General features: G+C 44.9%; 1 protein-coding gene across 65 annotated transcripts in view, besides 1 other annotated feature; it reads right to left on the bottom strand.

The window, feature by feature from the left end:
- The window catches only part of ST3GAL3 (ST3 beta-galactoside alpha-2,3-sialyltransferase 3), a 223,624-nt gene that overhangs the window by 37,663 nt on the left and 170,047 nt on the right, over positions 1-15,914 (bottom strand). The window contains exon 6 of one of the 65 annotated variants that reach the window (NR_073018.3): positions 13,990-14,162. The exons of 62 other annotated variants lie outside the window; for them this stretch is intronic. The gene's annotated coding sequence lies outside the window, so the exon portion shown is untranslated. Of the gene's footprint in view, positions 1-13,266; positions 13,951-13,989; positions 14,163-15,914 lie in introns of those variants that run through there. 2 more of the 65 variants (XM_047428261.1, XM_011541988.3) reach the window with 2 other exon arrangements.
- Positions 7,646-7,940: a silencer, noted in NCBI's record as "tiled region #749; HepG2 Repressive non-DNase unmatched - State 10:DNaseD". NCBI's record gives its function as "represses a minimal TATA promoter and a strong SV40 promoter by Sharpr-MPRA in HepG2 cells {active_cell/tissue: HepG2}" and the evidence as "EXISTENCE:reporter gene assay evidence [ECO:0000049][PMID:27701403]".

Genomic DNA, 15,914 nt, shown 5'->3' with positions numbered 1-15,914 from the left:
CTTCAGAGATGACTGGAGAGCACAACTTCACATGGGCGCTAGCACCCTGCTTTGAAGGCCCTTTTCAGGGAACCTGGCAGCCCCAAAGATGGCCAGTTTCTGATCACTCACTGTGTGCTGAGAATTCTGCAATGGGGCCTGCTCAGGACCTTCCTGGCCATAAATGAATGTGTGGAGGCCTGGGCCTCCGTGGCTCTGTGTTGTTATTTCTAACTCACCCTGAATCAGCCACTGAATAACTGGAGGCTGCAGGGGTGGCCCTCCAAGCCCAGAAGCAACCACAGCATGGATTTCTCATCCCTATCATCACTAACACCATTATAACCAGCAGTCCCAGGAGGAATAGTATCAGTTATCACTCAGAGGTCTGCTATTATTAGAGATTTTGACATGAACTTGAAAGAGGCAGAAAACTTGGAATCCTGCTCCCTCCCCCATCACTCTTGCTAGGAAGATGTCAACACTTGGGAGCTCTGAGTTGGGTCCCAGCAACTGAGTCAGTGCACTCCCACTACCACCCCATGTAAAAGGGTAATGCATATTTCTTGTGCCAAGTATATAAAATCTAAGTAAATTAATATATTTGATGTTTTGCCAGAGGCTCTGAGGATCCTGGTCATGGTCTATGTGTAATATCAAAGCAAACATGGTCCCTGGATAAGCCTGCACCAAGAACCTCTTCTTCTGTGTCACGACTGAGCTTATAAAATTTCTGGAAAGTTTCTCTCAGAGTCAAGCTTGGACAGGATTTTATCTGCTTTCCAATATGTACTAGATGTCATATGCTAATAAAATATGCCTAAGATCTAGCCAAATGATCTCGACATTTTTTTTTCCCTTTTCCTCTGCTTTCTTTTTATTCAGATGATTGGAAAGTTCAGTAAGTTTTACTTTTAAAAACACCTCATTTTTTGTGCAACCTGTATCGTGTTAATTTTGGAAAAAATACAGACAAGCACACATAAAAAATAAAAATACCCATAACTGTACAACACAGAGATAATTAACCTTATGGTATACCTTGAAACTGATTTTCCTTTTCCTATATTATTTTGTAGATTGCTTTGTAGACTGCCTTTCTCCTGCTATACAGAGACTGTAGTCCCAGCTATCTGGGAGGCTGAGGTGGGAGGATCACTTGAGCTCGGGGGGTTGAGGCTGCAGTGAGGTCAGATCACACTACTGCACTCCAGCCTGGGTGACAGTGTGAGAACTTGCCTCAAAAAAAAAAATTATTGATCAAGATTGGGTTCAGGCTGGGCGCAGTGGCTTGTGCCTCCAATCCCAGCACTTTGGGAGGCCAAGGCAGGCGGATCACCTGAGGTCAGGAGTTTGAGACCAGCCTGGCTAACATGGCAAAACTCTGTCTCTGCTAAAAATACAAAAATTAGCCAGGCGTGGTGGGCACGCTGGTAGTCCCAGCGTCTTGGGACGCTGAGGCAGGAGAGTTGCTTGAACCTGGGAGGTAGAGGTTGCAGTGAGCTGAGATCACGCCACTGCACTACAGCCTGGGCGACAGAGCGAGACTCCATCTCAAATTTAAAAAAAGACTAGGTTCAAGTGTTCTTGGCTAGAACTGATAAAAGTTCTCAGCGGCTCTGCACAGAATGCTTGTAGCAGCCACTGAGGATCACCGCCTAGATCCATCCTTTCTTTAGGAGATGCTACAGTACTTCTATAAACTTTCTCTCACTAACTCTTTGGTAGCAGTCCTACAGAAAAGATGAGATAAAATGCTTAATTTTCCCCCTTATTTACCCATTTGCAGAATAATGAGCTGATTCCTTAACAGCCCCCAAAGAATGATTAATGAGGCTTTTTTATGTTTTAATCATTAGGAATTCAGACATTTTCATGTATTTGATATATGTCAATCTATTGTAATTTTTGTAGCCATTATTCTTATTTATTTATTACTTATTTTTTTGAAATGTAGTTTTGCTCTTGTTGCCCAGGCTGGAGTGCAATGGTGCGATCTCAGCTCACTGCAACCTCTGCCTCCTGGGTTCAAGTGATTCTCCTGCCTCAGCCTCCCGAGTAGCTGGGATTACAGGCACCTGCCATCATGCCCGGTTAATTTTGTATTTTAAGTAGCAATGAGGTTTCACTATGTTGGTCAGGCTGATCTTGAACTCCTGACCTCAGGTGATCCACCCGCCTTGGCCTCCCAAAGTGCTGGGATTACAGGCGTGAGCCACTGAGCCCAGCCAATCATTATTTTTTGATGCTCAGATTATCCCATCTTTGGCCAGTGGAGTCTTTTCAACTTGGCTCCTGAATCTTCTGCACACATCCTAGTAATCTTTGATAATGTCCTGGCTTTCTTGTATGAAAAGATTTTTGAGGCTGATCTTGTACATTTCTTGCCCCAACCTGGAATCAGTCATTTTCCCAAGGAACCCTGGTTCCTTTTAATTGGTAATGGTATTTACAGATCACCATCAGAGTAGCTAGGGAAGCTCATGTTGTTATGGGTTAGTCATCATTTCCAGGCTCGTCAAAACTAGGACATACACATATTTCCTAGTTCTATGTATACAGGCTATTTGTCCTGTAGAATGCCCCATATTCCATATTTTCCCAGTTGCATTCGGATATTGTTGAGCATGTTCATCTGTCCCGTATACGTCTGTTACCCAGGCTGGAGTGCAGTGGCATGAACACGGCTCACTGTAATCCCAAACTCCTGGGCTCAAGTGATCCTCCCACCTCAGCCTCCCGAGTAGCTAGGACTACAGACATCCACCCCCATACCCAGCTAAGTTCTCATTTTATTTTTATTTTTAGTAGAGATGAAGTCTCACTATGTTGCCCAGGGTGGTCTTGAACTCCTGGACTTAAGTGATCCTCCTGCCTCAGGCTCCCAAAGTGCTGAGATTATAGGCGTGAGCCACCATGCTCAGCCTCAAACACTTTCCACTTCGTCTCTCTCTTTTATCAGGCCTTTGGCTTTGGATTTTCTTTCTGTAGCTGCTCTTTCTATGCCTTGAATGATTCAGCCAGCTCTCCTCTAACACTTCGGCTAGTTAGGTGCATCTCTTTGCAAAGGGAACTCATTTTTTCCTCCGGTGTATATATTTTTAAACTTTTCATTATGGAAAATTTCACATATAAAAAGGCAGAAAAAATAGTACTGTCAACCATGCCACCCCCATCACCCAGATTCAGCAATTTTCAATCATGGTCAGTTTTGTTTCTTTTATACCCCATCCACTTTCTTTGTATACTATTTTGAAAATTCCCGGAAATTATGCCATTTCATCCATAAAATATTTCAGCATTAATTTCTAAAAGATAAGGACACCTTAAAACATAAACCACACCTAAACAACTTTTCTTAAAACATTATCACACCTAAAATTTTAACTATAATTTTTTTTTGAGATAGGCTCTTGCTCTATTGCCCAGGCTAAAGTACAGTGGTGTGATCTTTGTTTACTACAACCTCAAACTCTTGGGCTCAAGCATTCCTTCCACCTCAGCCTCCTGCGTAGCTAGGACTACAGGCATGTGCCACCAAGTCTGGCTTATTTTTTATTTTTTGTAGAGATGGAGTCTCACTATATTGCTCAGGGTGGGAATTAATTTTCTGAAAAGAATACATCATTCATTTGTAACTAGTATTTCCAATTCAAAATTAGGATTATAAGATTTGTATTTATCTTCTTTTTCTTTTTTAAAACAGCTTTATGATATGTAATTCACACAGCAAAAAATTGTTTACCTACTATATTTGACTTTATATTTGTATCTCTTTTAAGCTGATATCCTTGTTTCCAGTGACATTAACACAACTACTGTTTTTGCTTGATCCTAACGTATACATATAGAAAATGTATATAATGGTTTCAGAAAAACAATACCAGTATACTACTAACACTACCATTACTAAAAACAATTTAAGGTTTCTTTGCAGTTCCTTCTGCCTTAGGGTATACCCCACTAGAAGAACAGACAAATTACTTTGCATTTGCCAGTTGAAATAATTCTGCTGAGTTTAATTTATCAATGACATGATACATAGTTAGGTTCATTTGTTTCATTCTGCTTTTGTTTTTAAGGGAGAGCTTTTCCCTCATTTTAATTGATTTTGTTTAATGATGATATAGAGTTTTGCCTAGTTACACAATTAAATTCACAAACAAAATACATTCAAAGAAGTCTAGCTTTCATCTCTGTCCCGTTACTTCTAGTCCCATACAGTATTCATTTTTATTAGTTTTATTGTATCCTTTTTTCTTGATATAAGTAAATAAATGAAACGTGTGTGTGTGTGTGTGTGTGTGTGTGTGTATTCCTGTTCCCTTCTTTATTCACTAAAAATGTAACACAGTATACATACTGTTTTGTCTATTTTTCTTTTTTTACTAAACAATATATCCTGGTGAGCACTCCATTATAATTACATACTCAATAATACTCCCATGATTGATTATGTACCTTATTTTATTCAATCAATCTCCTGGGTTGTTTCCAGTCTTTTGTAAAGTAGGTGCTACTAGTAGTGGTTACAATGAATAATTTAATGCATATGTCTTTTCTATTTGCCAATGTATCTTTGAAATAGATTCCTAAAAGTGGGTTTGCTGGATCAAAGGGAAAGTGTGTATCTCTGATTTTGCTCTATACTGCCAAATTCCCCTCCACAGGGATTGTGCCATTTTGCAATACCCACCAGTGATGTATGAAAGTGCCACTCCCCCACAGCCCCTGCAACATCACCAAGAGTACACTGTCAAACATTTAGATTTTGTTAGTCTGATAGAAAAAAAATAGTATTTCACTGTCATCTTAATTTGCATTTCTTTTGTTATGAGTGGAATTTAGCATTATTTCATATATGGAAGAGCCATTTGCAGTTCTTTTTCTATAAACTTTATTCGTATCTCTTGCCTATTTTTTAGGTATTGTTTTTTTCTTCTCTTTTTTTAAAGTTCTTTATATATTTAATATATAAACTCTCTGAGATACAGTTACAAAATTTCCCCTTGTTTGTTTGTTTATTTATTTACTTGGGTTGTGGTGTTTTCTTTTCTTTATTTCCCCCCTCATTTTTGCAAAAGATTTTTATTTTTTCTCAAAGCAGGAGGCAGAAAGCTGCTGCTATGGTCACTTTTGGCCTCCCACACAGTAGGTTTTTGTTGTTGTTGTTGTTGTTTTAAGTCAAATTTATCAGTCTTTCCCCTATTGCTTCTGGAGTTTGAGTCATAGGAAAGTTTTTCTCATCCCCAGGTTATAGAGAAATTCATCCATACTTTTTTAGTACTTGTGTGTTTTCATGTTTTACATTTAAATCTCTGGTCTATTCTGGTTGGCTTAAAGACCAGATCCAATTTTATCTAGTTCCATATGACTAACAAAGGCCTCTCTTTACCTCTTCTAAGACTATCCTGTGGCTTTTCTTCACCTTTTCTTTGGAGATTTGCATGCTTGTTTTTTTCTCCTGGTTTCCCCTCCTTGTATCATTGATTGCAGCTGCATGGATTCAAAGACTGTTCCCTCAACATGTCCTGTGCTGTGCTCTAGTCTCTTCCTCCTCCTCCTTCTCTTGGCCACAGGCATGCTTTCATGGTGATGGGGAGATCAGGTTTCAAGGTGGGAACAAGGACTTGGAACACTCTACATTCTTGTTACCCTAGAACTCCCAGAAAGGACAGTGGTGGATGTGGAATTTCTAACAATCACAGCCAGCACCATAACTTTCCCCAACATCATCCTCACCTCCATCACTACATCACCAACACTTTTATTACCAAGTTTCAAGCGATCATCTACCAACTCTGCCATATTCATTCAAGGTTTCAGCATCTGTCTCATATTCTACGCAAACCCAATTCTTGCTCAATTATTTTCAGAAACTTCAATGCCTACTACAACTCTGGCCTCGAAGATGACTTACTTGACTCCAGTGACCCTCTCATCTTCACTCCACGTCAGGCACTCAGTCCCACAGCCACATTCTGAAACTCTTCATCACTTTGAAAATATTAATCTCCAATACTCTCTGAATGCAATTTCTTCATGTTCTATTTTCTCTTTCTCTCCTTTGCCTTCTACACTCCAAACCCACTTGATTTCTATACATACTTCTAGTCTATTATCTCTCTTGGCTAGATCCCATCCATCTCCTCAATCTCACTCTTGCCAGGGTCCTGTACCCGTTGGTTCCACTGTTCTTTTGTCCCACACATTAGGCAAAATCCAACCAGAGATTTATCTAATCTTACACTGTTGTACCTTTTATACTTGAGGGGCTGCGAGAACACACACACATATACACTAAAGTGCACTGATGCCACCACAAATTTATGAGGCGCTGGGCCCTCAACTTTGCTCAGCAGCTATTCCAAACATTCTCTACTCTCCATAAACTCTATCCTTTTCCAACTCTCTTTAAGCAGGTATCTTTTCTCTTACTTCACAGAAAAACCAAGACCATCAGATAGGTACTCCCTCAGCTTCTGGCTTCCTTACCCACAAATCTATCAGCCCCTTTACCTATTCTTAAATTTGGCCTCCTTACCCCATCCCTATGACACCAAAGTAGATCTTTCTATCATGCTATGGATTCCATTTCTGTTTGTTTCTCTTTATGCACACAATAAGGCTCAGGTCTCTCCCCTGTGAAAACAAACAAACAAACAAACAAACAAATTCGACAAAGCGTCCTGGCCATGTACCCGCTTTAGCTACCAGCCTCTCTTTCATCCTTTCATGGCAAAAGTTCTAGGAAGAGCAGTGGATATCCTGTCTCCACTTCCTCATCTCCTAGTCACCCTCCAATCTAATGCAATCTAGATTTTACTCCTCTGGGACTACTGTTATATATACTCCCAGCGCAGCACTATTTGTAGACATGTCCGTCTTCTTGCATTTACACATGCATTATCTCTGCCTGAAATGTACACCTCTGCTCTATTTCCCAACCACTTTCCTTCTCTATAGGCCTGGAAAAAATGCATTCTTACTTTTAAAAAAATTTTTAATAGGCACATAATAATTGTACATATTTATGGAGTACAAAGTGATGTTGTGATACATATAATGTATTGTGATCCAATCAGGGTAATTAGCATATCCATCATCTCAAACATTTATCATTTCTTATTTATTTTTAGACAGAGTCTCGCTCTGTTGCCCAGGCTGGAGTTGCAGTGGTGTGATCTTGGCTCACTGCAACCTACGCCTCCCAGGTTCAAGCGATTCTCCTGCCTCAGCCTCACGAGTAGCTGGAACTACAGGTGTGCACCACCACGCCCAGCTAATGTTTGTATTTTTAGTAGAGACAGGGTTTCACCATGTTGGCTAGGCTGGTTTCAAATTCCTGACCTCAGGTGATCTGCCCGCCTCGGCCTCCCAAAGTGTTGGGATGACAGGCATGAGCCACTGCACCCGGCCAACATTTATCATTTCTTTGTGTTGAGAACATTCAATATCTTCCTTCTAGCTATTTGAAACTATATATTACTGTTAACTACAATCACCCCAGAGTGTCATGGAACGCTAGAATTTATTCCTCCTATCTAGCTGTGATTTTGTATAATTTGACAAGTCTCTCCCTATTTCTCCCTTCCCAGCCTCTGGCATCCTCTGCTCTGTTTCATTCTTATCAAGCTGAAAGACTACTTCCTCAGGACAGTCTCCCCTGACTCCCCGAGGGAGGCTTGCATTCTTCCTCCAGTGTTCCCACTGCACTTTGTTCATCCCCTGTGAGGTGGCTTGACACCTGCAGAGGCCTTGGAAAATGGGCTGGGGCCTATAAACAACAGGAAATGTCGGGGTGGGGTGATGGTAAAGATGGTGTGTGTGTGTTAATTATGCAGGTGGCCTAACCTCAGGCTATGCCTGGAACAGAATCCAGGGGCTTCCGTCCAGACCAGTGTGCCAGTTTGGGGGCCTGGCCAGGGTGGAGGTGGCCCTTAAGGTATAGAATGACTGGTCAGACTAGCGGGGGTGTGGGACGCCTGACCTGCTTGCCCTGGCCTAGGGGGTAGCAGGGGAGGGTGGGGCAGGCTCCAAAAGACAGGCCCCAGCCCGCCAGCCCCGCCAGCACCCCGGCACGCGAGGCAGCCTCAGGATCAGGTTTCAGCAGGGTGTGTGTGAGTGCGTGAGAAGGACCCGGGGAAGGAGGAGACGGAAGTTGCACTGGAACTTGCCTATCCTTTCTCCTTAGATCCTACAGCCTAGTAGTTTGGGGGTTTTGGGCCCTGGGAGAGTACATGCTGAGTGTGGATCTGACCCCTGTGTCTCTCACAGCATAGATGGAACCTCAGGAGCCAGGAGGCTGCCCTGCTCGCAGACCTGTAGACTGAAAGAGGACTATGATTAAGCATAAGGGTCAGGCTAACCAGCCAGGAAGGGCAACCTGGGGCCCTCCTAAGAGATCTTCCAGCTCACTTAATGCTCAAAAATGTGGCTAAGGTGCAGCGTATAAGGTGAATGTCCTCAACACTGGCTCATCAACCTAAACCATGTTCTAAGGCTTGGAATATTAAGCCTGTATCCACAGACTGGCAAGAAAGCTGACTGGTCTTATTAAGGAGTGAGGTGAGGGAGTAGTTATGTGTGGGCACCAGCAGATCTAGGGTAGGGTCTTCTCCTAGTTCCTACCAACCCAACTGAAAGAGGTGCTTCCAGATATGGGTTTGCTGGATTAGGGTAACAGATGGCTTCAGCTTGACATCTGTGCCTGGTTGGTTGGGTGGCCAGCCTTTTAGCCACTTCTCCCAATGACTGTGACGAGTGCAAGCAGCCCATGAGACAAAGGGAAGGCAGAGCCCAGCAATGAGTTCTTAGACCAGGGACCACAGCACATCAGTCCGTTATATTCAACCACAGGCCTTGGCTCCCACAAGGTGAGACTGTCATCCAACAGGATGAAGCCAAATCCCACAGATCCACCTTCCTAGAACCTTCTCTGAGTAGTGGTGGGATAGACATAACGTAGGGAGATAGGTGTTCTAGAGTCTACATGGTCTTGCTTGGGATCTAGCTGCTGCAGCCCCACCATAAAGGGCCATGCACAGGAAGAGCCTGGTGTATGTCTAAGCAAGTAATGCGAACACTTTCTAAATGCCCTGTCAAATATGTGTCTTGCTGCGTTCCCCTTGCTGACCACTTGAATGAATTCCATGGGAGATGGGTCCTATGGGAGAGCAGGAGTCGAAGGAGAAAGGATGGTAAGTTTAAGAGCAGGTGGGCATCATATGTCCTGAGAGAGGTAGCTCAGAGGTAAAGAGACAAACATCAGGTGCCAACCAACAAGTACTATTCCAAGCCTGTTCAGGAAGCTCTTGCTTCCGTATCTTACATGGGACTAGATGGAGCTGGAAAACACGGCCCCATCCAACAACTGCTTGCCTACTCAGTGCTAGGTCCTGTGCTGAGTACGAGCTCAGAACCTAAAAGTAAATTAGGCTTGGTCCTTTCCTCAAGAAGCTAGTGATAGAGACAGGTAGAGAAATAATCATAAGAAAATATATGTAATATATGTCCACATTCTATATTCTGGAATAGGATGCTATATTTTGGTACAAAGGTCACTGACCAACTTGAGGGTACTGGAAAGACATCTCAAAGGAGATAATGGCAAAGCTGAGCTAAGCCTTGAAAGACAAGTAAATAAACGTTAAGCCTGGTGGAGAATGTTCAGAAGGGTAGTTGTAAGACAAAGGCACAGAAGAGAAGAGAACCATAAGTAACTGTCCCTTCAAGATAAGGAGAGAGAATGCTGAGGCTGGAGGAGGGAAGTAGCCCCCATCAACGGCAGAGGAACTTCAGCCTGGCACCCTCCCCACCCCGCACCCTTGTAACTCTGCCCTCTAGTTCCACCCAGGCAGGTGGAGCAATGTGTGAGGAAGAATGGGCAGGCAAGTGCATTCTGACTAGGTGTAAACAAAGCAGCTGAGATGCAAATACTGCACAGAAGGAAAAGGCCAGGCAGGGCGTGCATCAGCACTGCAGGGCTGGCCTGGTGCCTGAGGCTGTGTCAGGACCAATTTCAAGCTGGATCATCACTGGTACTTTCAGGCACTCAGTTCATGCTCTTTCTTGTTGGCACGTTGCAGTGGATATCCACATCTCTTCCCCTGTCTTCTACAATAGCATCCCCCTTTTCATTCCATATGCTCCTGGTTCGGCTGATCCCCACCACTGCTACTGGGATGGGCACATGTCTGGGCTGACCAATCAGGAGACCCCTTCCTAAGTGGCTCAGGAATGGGCACCTAGCCAGGCACGGTGGCTCATGCCTGTAATCCCAGCACTTTAGAAGGCTGAGGTGGGAGAACTGTTTGAACCTAGGAGTTTGAGACCAGCCTAGGCAACACACTGAGACCCTGTCATTATGAAAAATAAAATTGAAAAATTTAGCCAGTCATGGTAGTGCACGCCTGTAGTCCCAGTTACTTGGGAGGCTGAGGCAGGAGGACCGCTTGAGCCTGGAAGGGTCGAGGCTGCAGTGAGCTATGATCTTGCCACTGCACTCCAGCCTGGGCAACAGAGTGAGAGCCTGTCTCTAAATAAATAAATAAATAAATAAATAAATAAATAAATAAAAGAATGGGCACTTGACCTAAGTGCTATGCACCATGGTCTTCTCTGAGATTTCATATTTGGACGCTGGGGGCTGTGGGAGTCTCTTTTTTTCTCTAAGATAGTGACCTATACAAACCATGCAAGCCCAGAACAGGGTCAGGCAAACTACAGCCTATAGGCCAGCTGCCTGTTTCTAAAGTTTTATTTTATTGGAATACAGCCACACCTATTCATTTAAACAATGTATGGCTGCTTTTGACCTACAACAGTAGAGACTTGTGACAGAGACTATATGGCCCACAAAGCCGAAAACATCTACTATCTGGCCCTTTAAGAAAAACAATGTGCCAACTTCGAGCTTAGAACAGCTGGAGCCATCTTCTATGGCTGCAGGGAGGAAGACACTGTTTGAGTCCTAGATTCAGGTGGGCCTAAAGATAGTTCAGGTCCTGAACTTCACAGTTATGTAAACTAATACAATTTCCTTTTTGCTTGAATTCATTTGACATGGGATATTACCAACTGCAACTGCTACCTAGAAGGTAAAGGTTAAGCTCTTCAGTCTGATTTACAAGGCTCCTGTCTACCTCTCCAGCCTCAGATACCCCCTCTTCTCCTCCCTTTCCCTATGCTTTAGCCCCGTACAACTATGTATAATTTCCAGAGTCTATCAGGCTCTTTAACGCCTCCATGCCTCTATACCACTGTTCCCTCTGCCTGGGGTTCTCGTCTCCTTATCATTCACATGCTGAACTTCTGCTCATTCCTCAAGACTGGACTGCAGCATCTCTACCTCTCTGAGGTCTTCCCTGAGCCACACAGGGCTGACCAAACCCTCCTCTGGGTCATCAGTGTTCTTTGTGCACAGTGACCTCTTAGCACATGCTAATGTTATTGCCCAGTTCCCCCGCAGGCTGTGTAGCACCCCCCGGCTTGCAGCCAAGCACATAGCAGGTGCTCAGCAAATGCCTGTGAGCTGCAAGAGACAGGAGCAGCTTGGGGTGACAGCCTCCACCATGTGGATCTTCCAGGGCTAATCCAGGCCAATTCCTGCTCACCTGTGGCAGTCTGGGGACCGCCTCTGTGTGATCCTCATGGACACTTTGATCTCCCTGTTCCAAAGCACCAGGCTTCCAGTGATGTTTCCAATGTTCACAGACACCCCCACCCCCCATTCTGAAATACTGCCAGCTACTGCCCCCACCCCGCCTGCCTAGGAACTGTGGCCACATCCGTGTCCAGACAAGCTGGAGCCACATGCATGACATGTGTGACAGGCAGGGAGGCCTGTGCTGAAGGAGGAGAGGAGAGGCTGAGCCAGAGGCCCTCAAGGGGGCAGTGCCTGGGCTCCTGCTGACAGGCTCCCACTGACTCTGCTGACAGCCTGTGCCTTGTGTAGAGGAAGGAGGGAGGGAAGTGGGGAACGTAGGGGAGGAAACTGTGTGCTGAGAAGCTGCCATGTCAGGCAGGCGCCCCTGCCTCAGGAAGAGCCTGGTTGATGGCCAGATTGTCTGCAGAGGCCACATAACCCAAAGCCCAAAGGCACGGTCCTGTTGGTGACCAGCATCTACCGTCTGTGTCTCTAATATGTGCTAAGCCCCAGCTTATCTCAGGCTCTGTGCTAGTCATTGGGAATATAAAAAGCTCAGAGGCTGGGCGTGGTGGCTCACGCCTGTAATCCCAACACTTTGGGAGGCTGAGGCGGGTGGATCACCTGAGGTCGGGAGTTCAAGACCAGCCTGGCCAACATGGTGAAACCCTGTCTCTACTGAAAATACAAAAATTAGCCAGGCACAGTGATGGGCGTCTGTAATCCCAGCTACTTGGGAGGCTGAGGTAGGAGAATCACTTGAACCCGGGAGGAGGAGGTTGCAGTGAGCTGAGATCGCGCCATTGCACTCCAGTCTGGGTGACAGAGTGAGACTCCGTCTCAAAGGAAAAAAAAAAAAGAACTCAGAGTCCCTGCCTTGGTGGATAATGGGTGAGGCAGCCAAACAGAGAGGCAGTTATGAAATACATGATCAACGTCACAATAATAACAACAGTAATAATAGCAATGACAACTGAGTTCTTACTGCATTCCTGGCACTGTTCTAAGTGCTCTCTCCATTTTCGTATTTAATCTCACAGTGACCTCAGGATGGGCACTATTTATATCCTCGTTCGTATTAACCGCATTGCTTCTGGTAATACATGAAAGTCACTGGCCCCTTAGGGAACACACTATTGGGGAATGGAGAGGACAGAACCAACTGCAGGGGTTGAGGAGGGAAAGAAGTGAGCAAGTGTTCAAGACAGAGATCAGACAATTTCTAAAGAGACTTGGTAGTGAAGGAGAGGACAGAAGTGGAATGGAGGCTGGAGATGAAGTGGGATGGTGAAGAACTGAGATGTTTGTATTCAGATGGAAAGGAGACAAGCGGAGAGAGGGAGGGGGTAGGTGACAGCCAGCGTAACAGTGGAATGAAGCCCGGGAGGAGAGGAAGGGGATAGATCCAGAGTATGAGGGGAGGAAGACAGAAGACAGGATATCTTTTCCGTGGAAAGGGAGGAGGATGTGAAGATGGCTACTCTGACAGGTGAGCTTAGAGGTATGGAGAACCTGAGAAAATGCTCACCACATCGACTCTTTTCCTTGGGAAGATTTGGGGTTGTAGTGTGAGGGTGTAGACTGTAGGGACTTATGAATAGGAAAGATTTGGGACAGTCACCATGGTAAGTCACACTGACCTTTTAGCACTTAACACATGCTAATGTTATTGCCCAGTTCCCCAGCAGACTTTGTGGCACCCCTAGCTCTCAGCCAAGTACACAGCAGGTGCTCCGTAAATGCCTGTGGGCTGCAAGAGACAGGAGCAGCTTGGGGTGACAGCCTCCACCATGTGGATTTTCCAGGGCCAACCAGACCAATTCATGCTCCCCTGGGACAGGGACAAGGATTGCTAAGCTGTGCACAGAGGCTGGAGAGCATGAAGCCACAGTAGCGCCAAGGCTGTGTTTGTGTGTCGCCAAGGCAGTGGTGCCAAGCAGCCCAGAAGTAGGAGCAGGAAAAGTCAGATGGATCCAACCACGTTTGGGCCCTGCTGTAGCAGGTTTGATGGAAGGACAGGAGTATGATGGGATTCAAAGCAGTGGTGAGAATACCAGTGATACGCAGGGTCACGGTGCAGGAGCAGCGGCTCTGGCTTTGATGGTGAGGAAGGCAGGGGCCAAGCTAATGTAGTTGATCAAGCCAAAACCTAGGAGTCATTCTTTTTTCTCTTTTAGTCCCATATTCCCAGATCCTCACAAAGAGCAACACCTATTTTACAAACAAATCTCTCTCTTGCCAACTGGATGGCATCCCTTGGAGTCATTCTTGACTCATCTCTTTTTCTTGGCTGCCTCTCATCCAATTCATCAGCAAGTCCTGTTAATACAATCACTAAACATATTCTAAATTCACCCACTTACCTCTCTCCACTGCTACGGCCCTAGTCCAAATAATCATTTCTGGACCACTATGATGGTCAATGTGCAGCTTCTGCTCTTGTCTTTCTCTCAGAGTCCATTCTCTCGAGGAGGCCAGGATGATAAATCATCAACCATACCATGCCAACCATGCCATGAAGGTTCGAACCTTCTCACTGTCTCCAAAAAAAAGCCAAACCACAGGTTAAAGGGCCCAATGCTCACGTCTCACCTCACCCCAGATCCTCCTCCTTCCTCACCCTGTTACAGCATACTGGCCTTCTGTCCAGTCCTTAAATACAAGCCTTTTTCTGAGTCTGGACCTTTCCACAACGGCTCTGCATCTTTCCAAGGCTGGTTCTATGTTTTCATTCAGATTTCTGTTGAAATGTCACCTCCTCAGGGACGTCTTCTCTGACTCTTCTGTCTAAAGTGGGTTTCCTGCCGCAGTCATTCTCTAACATGTCATCTTCTCTTGTTTTCTCTGTAAGCACGTATCACTCTTTGTGCATTGCTTCCTGTCTCCCATGTGCACTTGTTTGTTATTATCTGGAGGGTGTAATTATCTGGAGGGTCTCCATGTGAACAGGAGCTGCCCATTCTGTTCACTGTCATGCCCCCCAGTACTTAGAATTGTGCCTAGCATAAAAGGTGCTGAATAAATATTTGGTAAGTGAGATCAGAGATCTGCCTTCCACCAAATATTCAAAACTACCGTGTCTGCTCTTCCCTCTTGATAAAACTGAGCAAAATTCCATTCTTCTATCAAAGATCAATATTTCCACATGGGCAATGTCTTCCTATCTCAGAGTAAAGGCTGACATCCTTACAACAGCCTATAAGGCCATCTATGATCTCCCTCACCCCAACTTCCTCTCTGGTCTCATCTCCTACTACTCTCCCTCTGTTCACAGTCCCCCAGCCACACTCCTTGCTGCCTTAGGGCCTTGACTAGAGCTGTTTCCTCTGCCTGGAATGTTCTTCCTCAGACACACATTTGGCTCATTCCTCGCCTCCTTCCAGTCTTTACTCAAATCTCTCATTTCCCTTGAGGCCAACCCTCACCATCCTATTTAATAATGCAACTTGCTCCTGTCACCTTGCCATATTTTCTTTCTTCCCATGGCATTTATCTTGTGGTAATTTACTAAATATTTTACTTCTTAGTTGTTTATTGCTTGTGTTTTTCTGGTAGGATGTACACTTCCTAAAGTAAGATTTTGAGATGAGGATATAATCCTGGATTATCTAGGTGAGCCCTAACACCATTGTGAATCCTTAGAGGAGAGAGGTGGAGAGAGATTTGACCACACACAGACGAAAAGGCAATGTGACCACAGGTCAAGACTGGAGAGATGCGGCCACGAGACAAGAGATGCTAGCAGTCGCCAGAGGCAGAAGAGGCGAGAGACGGATATGACCTAGAGCATCTGGAGGGAGCCCAGCCCTGCTAACACCTTGATTTCAGTCCAGGAATACTGACTTTGAACTTCTGTCCACCAGAACTGTGAGGGAATCATCTGTTAGGGCAGCCACAGGAAATTAATACAGATACATTACTTTCTGAACCCCTAGAAATGGGATTCCTGGAAGGGAAGGTTTCAGCCATCTTTTTTCCTCTGCTAAGGAGTGAGACAACATGACAGAGAATGAGCAGATGCTGTTCTGTGAGATGAGACCCTCTACCTTCAGGGAAGGGGCACAAGGGCAGTCATTGCTGACCACTATCTGCTCTGCATCCAATCATTGCTTACAGTCCCAGGCAGGTTTTATAAAGAAAAGGCTGGAAAATGCGACTGTTTACAGGAGGGTTCAAGTTCCAGATATCCAGACACATATTTCTAACTGGGGGCTGCTGAATCTCCATCTCAAACTTAGACCTGTATCCGGAGCTCAAGACTTATATATCCAACTGCACCTGGAGTATC

The sequence above is a fragment of the Homo sapiens genome, chromosome 1 (assembly GCF_000001405.40).
Source record: "Homo sapiens chromosome 1, GRCh38.p14 Primary Assembly".
NCBI classification, from domain to species: domain Eukaryota; kingdom Metazoa; phylum Chordata; class Mammalia; order Primates; family Hominidae; genus Homo; species Homo sapiens.
Note: the sequence above shows the minus strand (reverse complement) of the source record. Positions and strands in the feature narration are given on the sequence as shown.